The 15956-nt window shown below is 40.2% G+C and overlaps 1 protein-coding gene and 1 long non-coding RNA gene across 12 annotated transcripts in view, besides 1 other annotated feature; both read left to right on the forward strand.

Annotated features, from left to right (window-relative positions):
• Window positions 1–15956, forward strand: part of CTNNA2 (catenin alpha 2) — a 1463404-nt gene that overhangs the window by 1032801 nt on the left and 414647 nt on the right. The gene's annotated exons all lie outside the window — the stretch shown is intronic.
• LOC107985903 (uncharacterized) lies at window positions 5351–12687 on the forward strand. The gene is made up of 2 exons (XR_001739569.2): window positions 5351–10332; window positions 12452–12687. It is a non-coding gene; the product is annotated as an uncharacterized LOC107985903 (long non-coding RNA).
• Window positions 13061–13714: an enhancer, noted in NCBI's record as "OCT4-NANOG-H3K27ac hESC enhancer chr2:80458363-80459016 (GRCh37/hg19 assembly coordinates)". NCBI's record gives its function as "activates a minimal SCP1, AML or CMV promoter by ChIP-STARR-seq in naive and primed H9 embryonic stem cells {active_cell/tissue: H9 hESC(naive and primed)}" and the evidence as "EXISTENCE:reporter gene assay evidence [ECO:0000049][PMID:30033119]".

Genomic DNA, 15956 nt, shown 5'->3' on the forward strand with positions numbered 1-15956 from the left:
TCTTGACTACCCATAAGTCTGGCTCTACCCAGAGAGAAGTAAACTGCTTTGGGCTTTGGAAGGCAAGAAGAAAATGGCTGTGGGTCTCTGTTTGTGCCCCATCTTATGGGAAGAGGCTGAGGGGGCAGAGATATTTGCTCAATCAACAAGGTGACAGCTCTTACAGTACCTGGAGGTGGGCAGACCTTCAGGACATCCTATGTTAATCCGACAGCAGTTTATGGATTCATGAAAAGACCAGACAAACCTATATTTAAAGGGATTGCCCTTGGGGCAGACATCCGATTATTGACCAATGTATTAAAAGGTGAATAGAAAGGCAGTACAACAAAGTAGTTAAGAGCAAGGGCTCTGGAATCAGAGGAGATTGGAATTCAGCTCTGATATGATTAGCTCTGTCACCTTGAACATATTCCTTACCCTCTATTAGGCTCAGTTCTCTTGACTGTAAAATGAGAGTAGTCATATTGTTTACTCACAGGGTTGTTGTGAGATTTAGAAGACATAATGCATGTAAAGCCCTTAGCCCAGTGCCTGCTACTTAGTAAGGACTCAATAAATATAGCTATTAGTATTCATGTTGGCCTCCTTATGCATTCAACTTTCTCCCCATTTGACAAAGTGAAAATATATTTAAGAGTACTTTGTGTTGTTGAATTGGTGCTACAATTTATTTAATGCTTAGAATTATCTGAGGTATAGGATAATACTTATTATGAGAAATATTTAATCGTATCATTTAGTAATGGATGATTACACACATTAAAACCTCAATTTAATGTTATGTAGAATCACATGCTAAGGATCCACAACCAGAATATAATCACCTGTGTAGACTGTACTTAGGTTACTTGGATATCGTGGCAATTATTAGTGGAAATAGAGAAATCCATTTTCAAGAGCTAAAGAAAGAGAAAGAAAGAAAGAAAAAAAGCCAGGATTGAACCTTGACTGACTTAGGTTGCTAAGACCTTGACTTTTGTCATATTGTAATTTTGAGCACACCATCTTTGCATCCCATCTTTGCATGGCCTTTGCAATGCCATCTTTGATTGCAGTAATTCTGTGCAATAAACTTTGTTCAGTATCCCACTATATTCCCAGGATTCTGCACAGTGAGAGGGGACTTAGCAATATCTATAATTCAACCAAATTATTGAGAAACTATTGGGTTTGAAGCACTGTTATCTATTATTATCTTAATACACAATGTTCCTATAGCATTTAATGATTTTAAAATAATTTCTTTTATATATTTTCACATTTGATTCAACCTCTTTGAATCCCTATGAATTATCTAGGTGAGGATCAAAGTTTCTAATTTCTATCGCTTTTGTTTTAAATATATACTACCTAATTTAAGATCTAGAATACCAGTCTGTGTCCAGACTACTCACCAATCGACCCATTCACCTATCTTCTCTGTAATACCTGTAACACTGCAGAGTTGATGTACATAGTTCTTTACCTTTGCCCATTCTATTTCCTCAGTACCTGCCTTTAGAAAGGGTTTGATTAACAAAAACAAAAATCTATATCTAATAAGAAAAATTAAATATATAACAAAACCTCAATTTTGTGTCCATTATTGATTCATATTTCTAGCCCTCTTGCTTCTTAATTAGCACTCTTTTTGTTAAGTCCCTTTATTTTCTCTCCATTTAACATAAACACATCAAGAGAGGTTTCTCTATGCAACTTTATGTTTAATTACTCTGCATTTTATATCAACTGTTTACATTTTTATGATATAACAGATGTATGTTTATTCCTTCCCTCACAGTACATTAAATTGAAACAAACAAACAAAAAAAACACAAAAACCACAACCAACAAACCAACAAACAAAAATACCCAACTTCCTGTGCAATTGCATCCCTTTAATACCTTACTTTGTTTTGACCACAAAGGATACTGAATGCAGTATACCAAGGATACTGCTGGGGATACTGACTGCAGTTCTTCCTGTAACTGTAAAAGTTCACGATTTAAATGAATTCCTTTGCCCTCTTCTTCTGCCATAGACATACTAATTCATCAGTTCATGCTTGATACTTGGAAAGAAGCTACACAATGCTCCTCTCTCCCCAGTCTCCTGGAGTCAACACTGAATATTTTTGACACACTCAGGACGTCTGCCACATGGGCTCACAAATAATAGAAGACTCATCAGCTTTTATATGGCATCCACGTTTTTTCCTTCTGCCTCAAGGCAATTAATTTAACAGTAAGTTGCCTAGTTTTTGCATTTTTTAAATTTTCAGCTGGGCATGGAGGCTCATGCCTGTAATCCTAGCACTTTGGGAGGCCAAGACTGGAGGACTGCTTGAGCTCAGGAGTTTGAGACCAGCCTGGGCAACATAGCAAGACCTCGGCTCTATTAAAAATAAAATTAAAGAGTTAAGAAAAGATTCCTTCTTTGGGATGGCCTTCATGGTTCTGGGTACTGCTGCATTTGTCATGGATAGTCACACTTTGCAGTGATTTCTTCCATGTTTGCTGCTTCTGTTGGACTTCTTGCTGCTGGTGTAGGAGCCCACCATATGTGTGCTGAAGCTCAGCTTGTACACCCTCTCATCAGAAGTTAGAATTCTTTTCTGCTATTTTAGAGTTATATATTTTCCATCTGAGTATCTAAGCTTTAGGACCTTAAGGGTCTGTTAATAACAATACTTCTTTCTGGTTTTTTGTTTGTTTTTGTTTTGTTTTGTTTTTGTTTTCTGAGACAGAGTCTCACTCTGTTGCCCAGGCTGAATTGCAGTGGCACAATCTCGGCTCACTGCAGCCTCCACCTCCTGAGTTCAAGCGATTCTCCTGCCTCAGCCTCCCAAGTAGCTAGGATTACAGGCACCCGCCAAGCATGCCGGGCTAATTTTGGTGTTTGTAGTAGAGACGGGGTTTTACCATGTTGGCCAGGCTGGTCTCCAACGCCTGACCTCAAGTGATCCACCTCCCTCGGCCTCCCAAAGTGTTGGGATTACAGGCGTGAGCCACCTTGCCCAGCCCTTCCCGTTTTTATTAAAGACTACCAGCTGCATATAATAGGAATCAAGCACATAGGTTCTGATAGCTCATTAAGTGTAGGATTACTGCCCTCTTTCAAGGACTACTACTTTCTTACTGGGACAAATGTTGGCTTAAGTTCTTTCCCCAGATTGGATTTTCTTCTGCAGTAGAGGGGTGTATGGTAGAGAAGGAAGTGATATGGGGACCTCAGGCCAGCTGGCAAGTTGGAAAGAAATCCCATTTCTTACAATACCCCACCCTGCCCAAGTTAGGGGCTTACAATTCTGCTGACCCATGCTGGGGCACCATGTCCCAGGAATGGCTAAGTGAAAGGTGATTTACCAATTCAGCGACTATACTAGAAAATGCAGACTGAGTCTAAATCTCCTTTCATGAGCCACTTATTCCTGATATACTCATTTCCTGGCATTCAGCTTCCTTTCTTCCATTGGTACCTCTTCCCCTTAATTATTGAAAATTTCATGGAAGAAGGGTGGAAATGGATCCGATGCTGCACTACCTTGGTTTGATTTTCCATGTGCTACATGTCTTATAAACTGCCTGAGCAATCAAAAAGATGAAGGAAAGGATGAGGTGGTATTGGACAGCCAAAGAGCTTTCAGATTAATGATCAAAATGTGTGCAAGACAGATCCTTTTGGTAGGATGCTTTTTATAGGTTTTTAATTTCTGAAATTTAATCATGCAGGTTTAATTGCCTCCAGTTGTATGGCTTTAAATTGAAGGAGTTTGGCTTTTTATCTAAATTGCTTCATAATAAAACCACTGCTTTTGAGAATGCTTACCAGTGCTCAGACTCCTGGAAGGCTTTGCCATTCCCCACCACTGCCAAACAGCCAACACTTGACATGTAGAATTATGGAGAGCAAACCAACACATCCCCTTTGCCCAAGCCAAACACAAGGGCATTTGTCAATACACAGTGAGATAGGAGTCAGGATGAAAAGCACTGGTGACAAAAACCAGGCTAGAAAATCAGCCATAGGCCCCATCATCTCATCATCCTGGTCTATATTTTTTAAATTACTTTTCTGCCTCCAGAGTCCCAAATTCTGCTTATACACAAAGCAAGTCTTACTTCCACAATAAATTATTCTCATACTCTACCTGATTTCAAATTATATCTTTATCTTATCACTTATATTTCCTTATACCATGCATAGTTTTGTTAATATTTAAATATTAAATTTGCTGTTTATATTTGCAAATCTTATATAATGCAAAGAGAAAGTCATGACTCAGATCTTCTAGAGACTCAGATCCTAAAGGTTAGGGTGAAGGAATTTAAGGTCCAAAGAAATGCCATAGGTGACTCCTCTGAAATGGTACAACTAGTTAATGGCAAAGACAGAACTAGAATTTTGGTCTTCTAAAGCCCAGGCCCAAGCACTTTTTTCTTCTTCACTCTTGCTGTCACAATACATAAATTAGTTAGCTGGTACACAAACCCTAGGAAGCCAGGTGGGTGTACAAGGATGTACAAGAAAAACTCAAAAGTATTTGTCATCTCATTGTAAATAAAGCTTACGTTCCCTATCAGGCAGTGATAACTTTATGCCTGGATCTCTTTAGCTATAATCTCAAATCCCACCAAAGCACCTTCTTACACAGTTGGATTTGCAAATATGTACAATATAATATGTCAGCATTTTTGTTTTTGTTGTTTAATAAATGTTAAAGTCCTGAAATTTGAAAAAAAGAGAATGAGATTGTGGTTTCTTTTGAGATTTCATCTAAAATGACTGTGGACTTCTCCTAATTTGGGGGTTATATTAGTTTTGCTTGGATAGGATTTGTATTCGGGAAAATCTCAGTAATTGATTGTACTCATGCAGCTCTCCATAATCTGTTTTTTTACATCCTAGGTTTCAGATACCCATCATGACCATATTATTATCTGTTTATTGAGTTTGTAAATTCTATGGGCTGTCCAGTGCACTGGAAAGATCAGGCAAATTGAGTTAAAGTTAGTGTTTCTCAGGATGTAACAGAGGCTTTCTTTGAGTGGTCTTTATTTCTGGAACGTAATGAAGAATACTTGTTTTCCAGGAGGCTTTTGGTCAATAAAGCGATAAACGAAAACATCAGGAAGTCAGGATAGAGGAAGGGAAGAGAGAGGAATTGCTGGTGGCGCAATCTCGGCTCACAGCAACCTCTGCCTCCAGGGTTCAAGTGATTCTCCTGCCTCAGCCTCCCGAGTGGCTGGGATTATAGGCATGAGCCACCATGCCCAGCTAATTTTGTATATTTAGTAGAGATGGGTTTTCTCCATGTTGGTCAGGCTGGTCTCAAACTCCCGACCTCAGGTGATCTGCCTGCCTTGGCCTCCCAAAGTGCTGGGATTACAGGCGTGAGCCACTGCGCCTGGCCCTATTTCTTACATATAAAATTTTCTCAGTCTCCTTAAACAGCCATATCACAGAACACTCAAGAGTTCTGTGTTCTTGTCACAGGACACTCTTTAATCTGTCTGTTGGAAGGAAAGAGTGACCACCACTTAGGATATATCCTAAAAGCAACTTTGCTTTCTACAGAATGAACTAGGCTCCCATCTAGTTTGGAAAATTTGATCCCATTTAAGGCTTTGAATCAATGCTCATGCCTGTGGCTTCAGATGTGACTGATAATCTTAAAAAGAGGTATTATCCCAGCCTCCTTGGTGTTGTAGTTTGCCAGGTCCAAGGTAATCATACTGTTTAGATACCACACTTGAGTATATGCATTACGGGTAGTAAAGCTGACATATAAGGAGTTAAGAAGAAAGAAATCTGCCAGTGCCAGTTCCTAGTGTGCCATTGGCACTCAGTGCTCTTAGATGGCCCCTCGATTGTCCCAGCCAGAGAACCAGCCTTAGCTGCTCACTTCCCATGACTTGTTCTAGCCCTCTTGACACATAAACTCTCTTGTCTTCTGTTCTCATGTCCCTAGAGCTTAGGATCCTGCTCATATCATAAAGAATACAGAAAGAAGGACACTCTCAACTGCCAGCTACCAAGGAGACCCCACACTGCCACTTCTCAATTTATACCAACCACATCATCTTCATTAGCACCCACCCTTACCCTCTTCTCTTTTATAATTAATGAAGCATATGTCTTCTGGCCATAAGCAAGATTCTCTCCACCTAAGTCTTAGAGTCGGGAATGACATTGGCATACTCATGGCTTGTATCTCTTTGCCAGGTTTTCATATCTGGCCTGTCAATTCAGTCAGTCCTCTACAGCTGCATTTATTTTTATTTTTATTTTTATTTTATTTTGAGATGGAGTGTCGCTCTGTCGCCCAAGCTGGAGTACAGTGGTGTGATCTCGGCTCACTGCAACCTCCATCTCCTGGGTTCAAGCGATTCTCCTGCCTCAGCCTCCCAAGTAGCTGGGATTACATGTGCCTGCCACCATGCCCGGCTAATGTTTTGTATTTTTAGTAGAGACAGGGTTTCACCATGTTAGCCAGGATGGTCTCAATCTCCTGATCTCGTGATCTGCTCACCTCGGCCTCCCAAAGTGCTGGGATTACAGGCATGAGCCACTCGTGCCCAGCCACAGCTGCATTTATTAATGCTACAAGAGACCTACCTCTAGTTGCTAAACTATTAGGCCCTCTTCAGTCAATTGATCACATCCTCAATTATACAGCTTTTTTTTTCTTTCCCACACCTTTCTTGCTTCCACAGATTAAATTTAATTGTCCTTTTAGAGCTGTTAAAATAGAAGGATCATTTCCACCTAACCCCCCTGCCCAGTTCTGTGCAGGATAAATAGCTTAAGAAAACTCAGCCTGCTGCATCCAAATCCCCACACTGCACCAGCCTGGTCACTATCACATGGACCCCATTCTAGTGTGTCAGTATCTTTCCTTAAGGGGGCCACACAATAAAATAAATGTTTGGTTCCATGAGTGGCCCCACCAGTGCCATGGAGGTCAGTGCTGTCTCCTCCTTGGGAATTTGTGTTGCTGTCCCCAAGTGACAACCATCCAGCAGGTTCACTCTCAGAGCTCCAACCTGGCCATGGCTACATTTGGAAAAGAAATTAAACATTTCTCTAAATATTGGAAAAGCAGAGCCCGATTGCCCTTTTCTCAACTTTGTTTCTTTTAATCTAAACTGCAAACACAGGTCACACTTTGTGAAGAGAAATCTCATTTGTGTCTCTGGGCACTGCTTTGGGATTCAGAACTTAGGTTCTTAAGATTTATGACAGACTGATGCTGTGAAATCAGTTGTTCCTGGCTGCAAATCATGAAATCAGCACCGAGTTGGCCATAAAAAATGAAAGTTTTATGGTAAGTGGTTTAAGAAAAATGCAGAATATGAGTCCTTTGTGATGTATATGTTTTAGAGCAGCAATTCCCTATTTTTAATTTTTTTTGAAAACATTCTCCATTGCCATAGTAGGAAAACATCATGAAGTAACTTCATTGAAAACAGCTATGTATATAGAATAGCATATAATGGTTCTGTCAGACTTATTTTCCTACTAGCTGAAGCATAAATGTAGGATGATGATTTTTTTTCCTGAGGAATTAGATTTTATTAAAATAGTTGCTTTGTATCTCATTCAGCCTTGAAGTCAAAGCAATGGGATCCTACATAAATGAAATTTGTTGATCTAGTGCAAGCTAATACAGAAATCAATTTCAATTTCCTTTGGATGTACTATTAGTGTTTATCTGATGGTGGATTTGTGTTGTTTTAAGTGATAGCTATAACAACCAAAAATACTGATTAGATACTAGGAGCCATTCTTGATCTCAATTCAGAAAGAGTGTGGCATTATCCTTTTTGTGTATAATGAATTGGTTCTGTATCACAGTTTTTAATTGATCATTCCCAATATTAAGTTCCTCCAAAAGTTTAATAATCTTTTTTTCTGTGGCATTCATTATCAGATGAGGATTGAGATAATCCATCCTTATGATGGCCTTCCATGACTTCAGCTAATGGGACTATGTGTTTTGTGGAACATACCTAAATTGCTAGGGTTAAAACAGCTCATTTGGATAATTACAGTTGGTCTCTCTTAATAGGCCTGTGATTTCATTCTATGTTCAATTAGACGAATACTTAACTATGACTTCATGATGAAGGGATAAAGGCATGGTTTTAAACCGAACTCCTCTGAGGGACTGGAGGCCTTTTCCCTATGACTAGATCTTGAGAGTGTTACCAGAGGTTCAAGGTCACACAGCTGCCCTGAAACTTGGGATGTTGGCTGTTCAAATGTGTTTGTTCGTGGCAGGTGCCACATCGGCACAGGTGACTTAGAGTGTCACTGACAATTTGTGGGGCTTCTGCCTATGGTGGTGTACATCTCTCGGATCCAACTCACTGCGGCACTGGCATCACTCTGATTTGACTGGTCCCCCTGGAGTGAGGCAGTGCGTGGCTTATATGCTGTACACAGACAGCCATGCTTTCTTGTCTTCATATCTCCCTCCACCCTACTTTTTCCCTCGAGCTTGAATTTGGGAAGCCTTTTCGTACAGGAAGGACCTGATGGAGGTCCTGAGTGACAAATTCCCCAAACCTACTTCATGACTCTGGGGGCCAAAGGGACCTGAAATTCAGACTAAAATACTTGACATAGAAACATCTCCCTCTTTCTCATATCCCATCTCACACCTCTCCTTGGGCCCCTTCCCCTCCAGCTCATCTCCAGGATGCAGTGCATTTGTTCTGCCCTGCCCCGAGTGTCACCCCCCTTCACTTTTATTTCATTTCCCTAAAATCAACTCTAGGTTCCTCCTGCTTATAGAAGCATGGGTATGTTATCATGGATGCTAAACTTGGGTTAACAACAGCTTTAGGATATATCATGTAGCAAATTCATTCGCAGGATTGCATGGGCACAGCTGTTGTAAATGCCACCTTCATTTTAGGATGATACGGAGTATTTGAATACACAGATCATCCATTTCAAACCTCCGCTTAGGGTTCCCTTTATTATATCTTATTGCTTAGTGGATATAAATTAGTGTATTTTTGCCACTGTGGATGAATTTTCATGGGCCTGTGTTTCCAAGAAGGGACACCACCTTAGGCATTATTTCATGAAATAATAATAAGCACTACTGTTTTTTGAATACTTACCAAGTGTCAGGTGCTGAATGATAAGTTTACAAAATATTTTCTGACTTATTTTTGCCTCACATACTAATATAAGGAGGGGGTGATATAATCTTCATTTATAGATGAAGCACTGGAAGCTTGTCCACGTTTGTTCTGACTTCTGCGTTTAGGGTCTTTTGTCTCACGTTACAATCCACGCCCAGCCCTTACTGATATTTCCAGGCATTCAGCCATCTATTTGATAATTATCCTTCTCCATAGAAGCACAGACAGGAGCTGCTTCTTGACTTTGCTGATGGCTCTTTCTGTCCATGGATGTGAGCCCGAGTTGTGCCTGTGGCGTGATGACCCACAAATGTTGGCCTAGGTCCTCATGATGTGCACAGGGCAGCCTCCCATGCTTTCTAGCTGTCCTGCTGTGGTTTTGCTTCACTTGGTTACAGATGTCAACCAGATTGACTGATGAAGAAACATAGTGAAGATGACATTTATGACTTGTCTGAGAGATCCAGGAGAAAGGTGGGTGTTTAGCAGCTTACTGATGTATAAAGACAAAATTCGAAAAAAACAAAAAACAAAAAAAAACAACTATTAAAGGACCCCAGTGGAGAATAACCACATGCTTAAGTTATTGTGTGATCTAGATATGGGGAAGTGTGGACAAATTTGAGAAAGGGAAGTTGCCCAGGCAGCATTTTTTTTTTCCTAAAATATGCCCTTTGATATGTGGCTGGTGGGTTCAGTGGTTAGTGTACAGTGTGTACTGTGTTTGAGTCCTATGTAGACCAAGCTGCTTTTCTGTATCAAGACCAAACTTGGACAAACTCTCCATGAGTGCACATGGTCAGGATCTGTGTTCAGCAAAATTTTGTTGTCAGTAAGACTGGCCATTGCCTAAGTCCATTTGGGCTGCCATAATAAAATATCTTTGACCAGGCGATTTATAAACAACAGAAGTTTATTGCTCACAGTTCCGGAATCTGGTAGGTTCAAAATCAAGGGACCAGCAGATTTGTTGTCTGATGAGGGCTCATTCTCTGCTTCATAGATAGTGTCTTCTGGCTGTGTTTTCATATGGTGGAAGGAGTGAACAAGCTCCCTCAGGCCTCTTTTACATGGGCACTAATACCATTCATGAGGTCTCTGCCTTTATGACCTAATCATCTTCCAAAAGCCTGACCTCCCAAAACCACTGCACCAAGAATTATGTTTCAACATATGAATCTGATGATGGGGGTGAGCACAAATATTCAGGCCATAGCAGCTATCGTATCTCATAAGATTATAATACCCTATTTTTACTGTCCCCTCTCCTTTAACTTCCCTTTGAGGTGTTTCTTCATTTGGTGTCACAAGAAACAGATCCACTCACCTATTGGGGAGGACTCATTACAGGGGATTCTGAGGTCACTGTCTGAATCTGAAATAGTAGTGTTATTGTTCAGTGCACATTGAGGACAATTAAAAAGAAGCACATAAGACAAAATAGAGGGGTAAAGCTGGTTGTAGGAGAGCTTACGTCACCATTTACAGTTTGTGTACTGCTTATTCCCTTATGATTGGACTAGCCTTGAATATATTACTTCACTCTTCTTCTTATGTTCTTTCTCATTTTGTAACAGCAAACATAAACCCTGAGCTTTATGTTAGTCATTCATACCTTTTATGCATGCATTTTAGATTCAAATGCCCAGCCCTATTTTCTAAGAGTAGATAGACATTATTTCTTCCTTGATATCTAATGGATGACAGAGAATTATTTTTTAAAGGTAGCTTCTCCCTTTCGTAAACAAATAGATTTTTCCATGTCACAATTACCTGAGGAATCAGATGGGCAAGTGTGTATAATAGAAATGAAACTCTTTTTTCCTGTCTGTGAAATTCATGCCAGTACTACACTCTATACTTCATTTCTGACATCAGATATGGAGTATTTTTCATACCAGGTATTTCTTCAGTTTCCTGCAATTAAACTCAATTCTGGTGCTAGCTAACTGGTGACAACATCAGATCCTGTAGGTTAAGGGCTCCGTCTGAAAAGGCTGCCCCTATTTCAGATGCCAGTTCCAAGTCCAGTGCTGTCTGATTGACTGTCTATCAGAGGTCCACATAATCTTCTCCCCAGGTTTAATAATTGTTAGAATGGCTCACATCACGCAAGAAAAGTTTACTTACCAGATTACTGGTTTATTATAAAAGGATACAACTCAGGAACAGCCAGATGGAAGAGATGCCAAGGCAAGATATGAGGGATGGGTGCAGAGCTGTCATGCCCTCTCTAGGTGCACCATCCTCCCAGCACCTCTAAGTGTTCAGCAACCTGGCAGCTCCCTGAACTCCATCCTTTGGGTTTTATGGAGGTCTCATTACATAGGCATGATAGGTTAAATCCCTGGCCATTGGTGATGGGACAGGGGATTGAAAGTTCCAACCCTCTAATCAAATGTGTTCAAATACTTGATTCCCATGGCAACCAGTCTCTATCCTTAGAGACCTTCCAAAAGTTACTCATTAACATAAACTCAGGTAAGGATGAAAGGGACTTATTATAAACAGCAAAAGACACTCCTTTCACTTTTATTGTTTGTATTACTTAGGAAATTCTGGGCGCTTTAGGGGTTCTCTATATAATGTTTTGGCCAATGAGGGACTCCATATATGATAGCGGTGGTCCTATAAGATTACAATACCCTATTTTTACTGTATCTTTTTATTTTTAGATATAAAAGTACTACTGTTTTACAACTGCCTACAATTTTCAGTTGAATAACATGCTAGACATGTTTGTAGCCTACAAGCAGTAGGCTACACCATAGAGCCTAGGCAAGTAGTAGGCTGTACCATCTAGGTTTGTGTAAGTACACTCTATGATGTTCACACAAAAACAAAATAACCTAACAACAGATTTCTTAGAACTTATTCCCCATTGTTAAGCAATGCATGCCTGTATATATTTCTTTGTCTCTCTCTCTCTTTTTTTTTCTTTGTTTTTTTTTTTTTTTTTAAGAGATAGAGTCTTGCTTTGTTGTTCAGGCTGGTCTTGAACTCCTGGCCTCAAGCAATCTTCCTGCCTTGGTCTCCCAAAGTGGTAGGATTGTAGGTGTAAGCCACTGCACTGGTCTATATTCATTATTATAAATCAGTATTACAATAATCAACATTGTGGGTGTTTTTTCATCATCACTTTCTATGCCCTCATGTCTCTGGATTCATCTAGGAATCCAGGTGTAAGCCAAACAGTTTGTGGCATTTATCAGTTTCTCATCAAACAAATGAGAACCTGTTCCCATTTGAAAAAGCAGACGGAAAAGGGAAAGTTTTCTGGGCCATGATGAAAAGTGTTCTCTTTCTTCAGAGAAAGCCACAAGAAGAGATGTTTTCACTCTTCTCCTGGGCATTGTCATGTGGCCACAAGGCTTGGAACCACTGCAGCTATTTTGTTGTTATCCAGAGGAAGATGAAGCTCACATAAGGAAATCACAGAGAATTCCAGGGATCCAAAACTGGAGCTACTAGGTAGAGTTCATTCCCAAAGCTTGCTCTACCTTTGTACTTTTTATTCTGTCAGCCAATAAAGATTCTCATTCTTTATGCTAGGTTGAATTGGACATTATCTTACTTTTAGCCAAATTCCTCTCAGTTAACACAGTGCAGAAGCAGACGTAGAATGATTGTGTTCCTGGTGTTTGTTTTGTTTTGTTTTGTTTTGTTTTTATGGGCCAGAATCTCGCTCTGTCGTCCAGGCTGGAGTGCAGTGGTATGATCTCGGCTCACTGAAACCTCCATCTCCCAGGTTCAAGTGATTCTCCTGCCTCGGCCTCCCAAGTAGCTGGGATGACAGGCATGCACTACCATCCCCCGCTAATTTTTTTGTATTTTTAGTAGAGACAGGGTTTCACCATGTTGGCCAGGCTGGTCTCTTGATCTCAGTCTGAAGTCCTGACCTCAGGTGATCCACCCTCCTCAGTCTCCCAGAGTATTATGATTACAGGTGTGAGCCACCACACCCGGCCTGTTCCTGGTGTTTGAATCCATTCTGATCATCCAGCTCAGTCACAGTGGTTCAGAGCGTCACCTCTGAGACTGCCTGTGATGGTACGGCATTCATACATACATGCCTCAGGTCATCTTCCCACTGATCAGGCAAGGCACTGTCCTTCTTAGGCAATTTCTACTGTCCAGTGTAAACCAAATATAAAATTATAAGTTTCTCAATCAGCTGGGTGGACCCCTCTTCAGGTCCCAGAGAACCCAAAGAAAACTTGAGAAACTATTTTAGGCAATGATGGGAAGGAGGGGTCAGACATGTTTCATTATACTTTCCTCCTCTTGGAGGTTAGACACAATTGACCAACATTAACATTAAAAGAGAGACCTTAAGAATGACAAAAGAGGCTCTTTGTGGCAATAAGATCCCAAATTCCAACCTGACACTGGTATAGCATCACATGACAGACAGCAGGCCCCGCAGGAAATCAAAGTATTTTACCCCAAAATATATTTCTTTGACATATTTTAGAAAGGCCCTGCACAGCTGTCTCTTATGGAAGAAATTTGCATTCTGTAGAGAATCTCCTTCCCTTACTAGTTTTTTTTCCAGAGAGTCTGGCACCTTTTAAAGGTCTAAATAGAAATCATCTGCCATCTATTGCCTCTAAGGGTGGCCACCTATGAGATTTTATCTACATAATAAGACCCTTGGTCTCCACAACCCCTTATCTTAAGCCAGACAGTCATTTCTATCAATTCCAGGTCTTTAGATAATAACTTAACTCTTTCAACCAATTGCAAATCTTGGCAAGAAAATCTTTGACTCTACCTGTGAACTGTAAGCCCTCACTTCAAGTTGTCCTACCTTTCTGGACCAAACCAATGTATACGTCACATGTATTGATTAACATCGTAAGTCTCTCTAAAACATGTAAAACCAAGCTGTAACCCAACCACTTTGCCACATGTTCCCAGGACCTCCTGAGGCTATGTTACAGGTCATCGTCCTCATATTTGACTTGGAATAAATCTCTTCAAATATTTTACAGAATTTGGGTTTTGTTTGTTTGTTTGTTTGTTTGTTTTTTTTTTTTTTTTTTTTTTTTTTTTTTTTTTTTTTTTTTTGTTAACACTAGTTTTGGCAGCTCTACTTAGAAATTGTAACCTCTTTCCCCACCCTTCTCCTTCTTCATCTCCCATACCCAGTCCTGACTTGGGCCAGGAGTGAGTGGCTGACTTAGAGGTAATCTGGGCTGAGCAATCAGATTATCTGATTGTGAATCTGATACAGAAATTATCAGTGAGCATGTTAACTGGAATGTTGGATGGATTGCAAGCTTGGAGTGGCCATTTTTGTGCCATGTGCAGAGTAAAGAAAACTTCTGGGCAGAAACAAAGTGGGACACAGTCTTGGAGTCCAAAGCATCCCGGAAAGCCAGACCTTCTGCCCTTGGTTCAGGTCTCACATGAGGAATGGCCCCTACCTTCCTGCCCTTGAGTTCCAATGTCACTTCGTTAGATAGCTTGGGATGGCTTCTACTTCCTATAACCAAACAACCTTGACTGACCCAAAAAGGGGTCGTGTTCATCTCAACTTACACATGATGCAATCAAAGATGAGAAAGGTTCACCAAAGCTGATTTGTAGCCAGCTGGGATTCAGCCTAGTTTTTCTAACTTTATCATGTTTATTTTTTCCATTTCACTTGCTGGTTAAGTGACCAAGAAAGATCAATTCATCTACTTTATTCCTAAAATATTCTGTGACTGTTGCCTGTCAGATATCAGAGAAAAGAGAATTACTCTTTAGTTGCTTCGTGACATCCTTGATGGATTATGAACTGCCACCCTGAAAATTCAGTAGGAACCTGGGTAATGGTAACTGTAGGTCTGCATACCTAAGTAATAAAATACAGAGTATCTTCTTTAAATTATTGAGGACTCTGGCCTTGGTAGTGTTGCAAAAATTGTGAATTATTGTGAAATAAATGTCTGCTGAGGTGCACAGCAGAGTGCTCTTCCACAAAGTTGCCCATGTGAGAAGCAATCCCACCGAAAAAGAGCAGATGCCCCCTGGAAGTGTCGATTTGAGACTCATTTGAAGACACTACTTGTTTTCTCTGTCATGGCATTTTAATACTTATGGCCTGTCTCTTCTACATGCAAAGCTTCTAAACCTTCCATCTTATCTCAATTGCAGCTGCTCTGGAGAATAACTGCCCTCTTTTGTGGCATTCCCCCTTCTATCAGTCCCCCAAATTAATTTTAGCATATGACACATAGCCTCCAAATTTAATGAAAATCCACTCAGCCATTATCTGTGATGTGACAGACAGACTAAAACTTAATTATATTGACATGGATTTGAGGTAATGCTATCATATTTTGCTAGAAAAGGCATCTCTTTATGAGTGATGACAATTAGCAGTCAGATTTTGGAAACACAGCCATGGAGAAATATCTGCACAGCAAAATATCATCCATACCTTTAGGACACCCACTAAGTTAGGGATTGAATGCCATATTCATTCACTCAGGCAATCCCACCTAGACTTTGGGTTAATAGCTTTGAAGAAGTATTTCATTACATGTCAGAACAAGGAAAGATTTCTCATAATATTAAGTGTTGTCCTTGTAGGAGGCTATATCTAGTTCTTTTGATCTTCAAAGTACTATAGAAGTGGTAAATAAAATATGTGTTAGCTAGTATCACTACTTTGACTAAGTAGATTTTTACAATCTTCCTGCACCCTCATGCCCAAATAAAGGATACTAATAGACTCACTATTTGTTTTTTTTTTTGAGATGGCATCTCACTCTGTCGCCCAGGCTGGAATGCAGTGGCACCATCTTGGCTCACTGCAACCTCCA

The sequence above is a fragment of the Homo sapiens genome, chromosome 2 (assembly GCF_000001405.40).
Source record: "Homo sapiens chromosome 2, GRCh38.p14 Primary Assembly".
NCBI lineage: Eukaryota > Metazoa > Chordata > Mammalia > Primates > Hominidae > Homo > Homo sapiens.